The sequence below is a fragment of the Homo sapiens genome, chromosome 6, assembly GCF_000001405.40.
Source record: "Homo sapiens chromosome 6, GRCh38.p14 Primary Assembly".
Taxonomy (NCBI): Eukaryota; Metazoa; Chordata; class Mammalia; order Primates; family Hominidae; genus Homo; species Homo sapiens.
Window position 1 is genome coordinate 11,900,388 of NC_000006.12, and position 4,152 is coordinate 11,904,539.

A 4,152-nucleotide genomic window follows, 5' to 3' on the forward strand; every position below is an offset into this window, starting at 1 on the left:
CTACTTTATCCATTACAGCCCTTAGTGTATCAATTACAATTGTTTGAAATGTCTGGCCTGATGATTCCAAAATCCCTTCCAGGTCTGGTTCTGAGGCTTCCTTGGTCTCTTCAAATTGTTGGGGTGGGGGGGTTCTACCTTTTAATATGCATTGTAATTTTTTCTTGATAGTCAGACATGATGTACTGGGTAAAAGGAACTGCTGTAAATAAGCTTTATTAATGTGTTGGGACAGGGAAAGTGTTCTATAGTCTTATGATTAAGTTTCAGTCTTTCACTCGACCTGTGTCTCAACTGTGAACTTCTCAAGTTTTTCTGTTTGTTTGTTTTTTTCTCTCCCCTTTTAGGTGGGAGAGAATGGATGGAGTGCACTGGAATTGGGTATTTTCCTTCTTTCACATGGAAGGTTAGAGTTGACCAGAGTTGGGTATGTCCCTTCCCCCAAGTCAGTTAGACTCTGACAATACCCCAGCAGGTGAGGCTATAGTTAACTAGTTTCTCCCGAGGGTAATCCTTGTTAAGAACAGATTGCTCTGGCGTAGTTTTAAATGGTTCCTTTTGCTCACCTCCTGCTGAAAGCATGAAGAGATTCTTCTCTGATATTTTCTGTGAGAATCTGATCAAGCTCCTAGAGGTGAAACTCACAAATATTTGGTAGTCGCTCTAGACTGGGTTGCTCCGGAGTTTTTAACTCTCAGGCTTGTTCGCCCTGATTCTCCAGCAATTTGTAAATTAGAGCTCAGGTTTTCCTGCCCCAGCACCGGTCCCCACAGTGGTTTCCACAGGTGAGTCTCTGCTCTGGAAGACGGTAACTCCCTGCACTTGCCTGTCTGTCTCTCCAATCGTGGGAATAACGTCCTTACCTCTCTTTCAGATCATAGAAGAGTTGTTAATGTTTCAGTATGCTCAGCTTTTAACATGCTGTTAGGGCAGACTGGCAACTTCCAAGCTTCTTATCTTACATGCAAAACTGAAAACCCTAACTTGCTTTTTCTGGTTTGATAGGTTTGTGATTTTAGTACTTTAAAAATGTCGGTGCACTGTATTCCGGCTTACGTGGTTTCTGATGAGAATTCAGTCGTTCTTATCTTGGTTGTTCTGTACATAATGTCTTTTTTCTCTGCCTGCTTTTATGATTTTTCTCTATCACTGTGTTTTAGTAATTGCATATCATGTTCTTAGTGTCATTATTTTTATGTTTATTCTACTTAAGGTTTTGGGGGCTTTTTTATATCTGTAGGTTTATAGTTTTCATCAAATTTGTAACATTTCTGACAATTTTTTGTTTAAATATTTTGACATCCTCCCCTCTGTGGCCCTGCTCCTCCAAGACGCCAAATATACATATGTTAGAATGCTTTATATCTTTCCAAAAGTCACTAAGTGTCTATTAATTTTCTCAAATGTTTTTTCTCTCTGTGATTGAGTTTGGATGGTTTCTCTTGCTGTGTTTTCAAGTCCACTGATTTTTATTTTTAGGAGAAGGACAAGTTTAATTAGTTCCTTCCAGTGAATGTTTTAAGATGAAGTTTTACATATATATATATGTATATGTGTGTGTGTATATATATGTATATATATATGTATACACACACATATACATATATATATACACACACACACACGTATATATATACACACACACACATATAGAAGTTCCATTTGGGCCTTTTAAAAAAGTTCTTGTCTGCTAATTCCATCAATTCTGTCATTTCTTGGTCTGATTTTATTGTGTTTATTTGTTTTGGGGCTTTTGTGTTGTTATGGGTCATACTTTCTTGGTTCATTGCATGCCTCTTAAGTTTTGGTTAGATGTTAGACATTTTAGATTTTTACATTTTTGAGTTTGGAATTTTGTTTTCTTTCTGTAAAGAGTGCTGGACTTTGCTGTGGCATGTTGTTAAAACTTTTTGCCCATCTGTTCTATATGTTTATGTTCTTTATAAGCAAATTTTGGATCAGGTATGGAGTGGCTTTTACTCTAGGGCTAATTAAGTCATTGTACTAAGACAGGACTCCTCTGAGAACGTTAACAAATAACCCTTGCCTTATGAGGTCTCTACTTTCTGGCTGGTGATAAAGCAATTTTTTCTCAATGTGAATGAACTCTGGGAAGCATTTGGCTTACTCTTTTCTAGTGGTTCTTTCCTTGGCCTCATGGAGTTTGAACACCACCCAGGTGTTGGCGGGAACTCAATGAGAGACTCTAGCAGAATGCTCTGCAGATCTCTGGAGATGCTCATGTGTGCAGTTCTTCTTCTTGATACTCGGACTCACAAATTCTAGTCACCTCAGCCTTCTGGAACACTGAGTTCTGCCTCCTCCACTCACTATAACTGGCTGGTTCTGTTGGGGTTTCCCCTCTCTGCAGTGAAGTCACATACACTTACAACAGTTAGCTTCTATCCTATTGGCCAGAATTTAATAATGTGAAAACACCTAGGTATATAAAATACTGAGAAATGTTTTTATTTTGGGTGGGCCCAGCTCAGCTAAAACTCAGGAGGTCTAATTTTGAGAAACAAGGGAAAAACAAATACTTACAGATTAACAGCAATCTTTTACATAAAAATTTTCCACCCCCAAGTGAAAATAAGTAGCAGTTTCACTTTTTCAAAGGCTTTAGACTATTTTGTTTCCTAGAAATATATTTATTTTCATTAATAGATTATTGGGTCTGACCTCCAACTCAGATAAAACCATTGGATTCCATTTTTTATTATCCCTATGAGTTCTATCCTAAGAATATGAAATAATTCAAGATTCCATTAAGTCAGGCACAAATTACCCTTTAATTATATTAGTAGTCTATCATCAAAAGTCTTTAGAGTGGGCCGGGCGCGGTGGCTCACGCCTGTAATCCCAGCACTTTGGGAGGCCGAGGCGGGCAGATCACGAGGTCAGGAGATCGAGACCATCCCGGCTAAAACGGTGAAACCCCGTCTCTACTAAAAATACAAAAAATTAGCCGGGCGTAGTGGCGGGCGCCTGTAGTCCCAGCTACTTGGGAGGCTGAGGCAGGAGAATGGCGTGAACCCGGGAGGCGGAGCTTGCAGTGAGCCGAGATCCCACCACTGCACTCCAGCCTGGGCGACAGAGCGAGACTCCGTCTCAAAAAAAAAAAAAAAAAAAGTCTTTAGAGTGAAAAGGAAAATACATGAATGTATAATAAAAGCCAAGAAAATGTAAAACTATTCATTCTGGGTAGGAGTTGCAGGCTTCTCTGAGTTCAGAGATATTTATGTAAGATGTGCTTAGAAGAACAATGTCTTTTTAAGCTTTGCATCCCATGACATATTAACAGTAAAATTTAAAAGGGACTCAGTAATCAGCAAAATGACTTATATGAGAATGTTCACAACTTGTTTCATACTAACCGAAACCTGGAAATGGTCCAGGATGGATCCATAGGTGAATGGATTAGTTGTAATATATGCATACAAGGGTATATGCATACTCATCAATAAAAAGAAACAAACTATTGATACATGCAACAACATGGATATGTCTCAAAAGCATTATGCTGGATGAAACATGTTTTATACAAAACAGTACATGCTGGCTTTACTAATATCAGTGGCTGATTCCACTAATATCAAGCTCTGGAAATAGCAAAATTAATCTATGGTGGAAAAAAGGTAAAACAGTCTCTGCGGGTGGGGGAAGGAATTGACTTGGAAGAGACATGAGGAAACTCTAAGGGGAGATGGTAATGTTTTATATCTTAATCATAGTTTTGGTTATACAGGTGTGACCATTGGTCAGAACTCAGTGACTGTACGTTTCAAACTTATGCATTTGATTATTTTATATCAAAAGAAGAAAATGTATATTGATATTGAACTCTAGTTAATATTATGTCTGCTGAAATACTTAGAAGGAAGTACATTTATGTCTACAATTTCCTTTAAAATGCATGAAAATAATGAGTTGATTGGAGGACAGAGGGATGGATGGATGCCTGCATAGTAAAATGTTAATAGTAGAGTCTTGGTGGTGTGTATATGAGTGTTCACTGTACAAGTCTTTTAATATTGCAGTTAAAAATTTTTTAAATAAATATTGAGAGGAAAAAGCGAGTGTGAGGGTAGCTTTGAGGCAAATGTCTGGATAGAATTTTTAGCCAGAATAACTTCAGTAAACTAGGATGGT

The 4,152-nt window shown here is 38.0% G+C and overlaps 1 annotated feature.

The window, feature by feature from the left end:
- Positions 349–643: a silencer, noted in NCBI's record as "tiled region #316; HepG2 Repressive non-DNase unmatched - State 13:Ctcf". NCBI's record gives its function as "represses a minimal TATA promoter and a strong SV40 promoter by Sharpr-MPRA in HepG2 cells {active_cell/tissue: HepG2}" and the evidence as "EXISTENCE:reporter gene assay evidence [ECO:0000049][PMID:27701403]".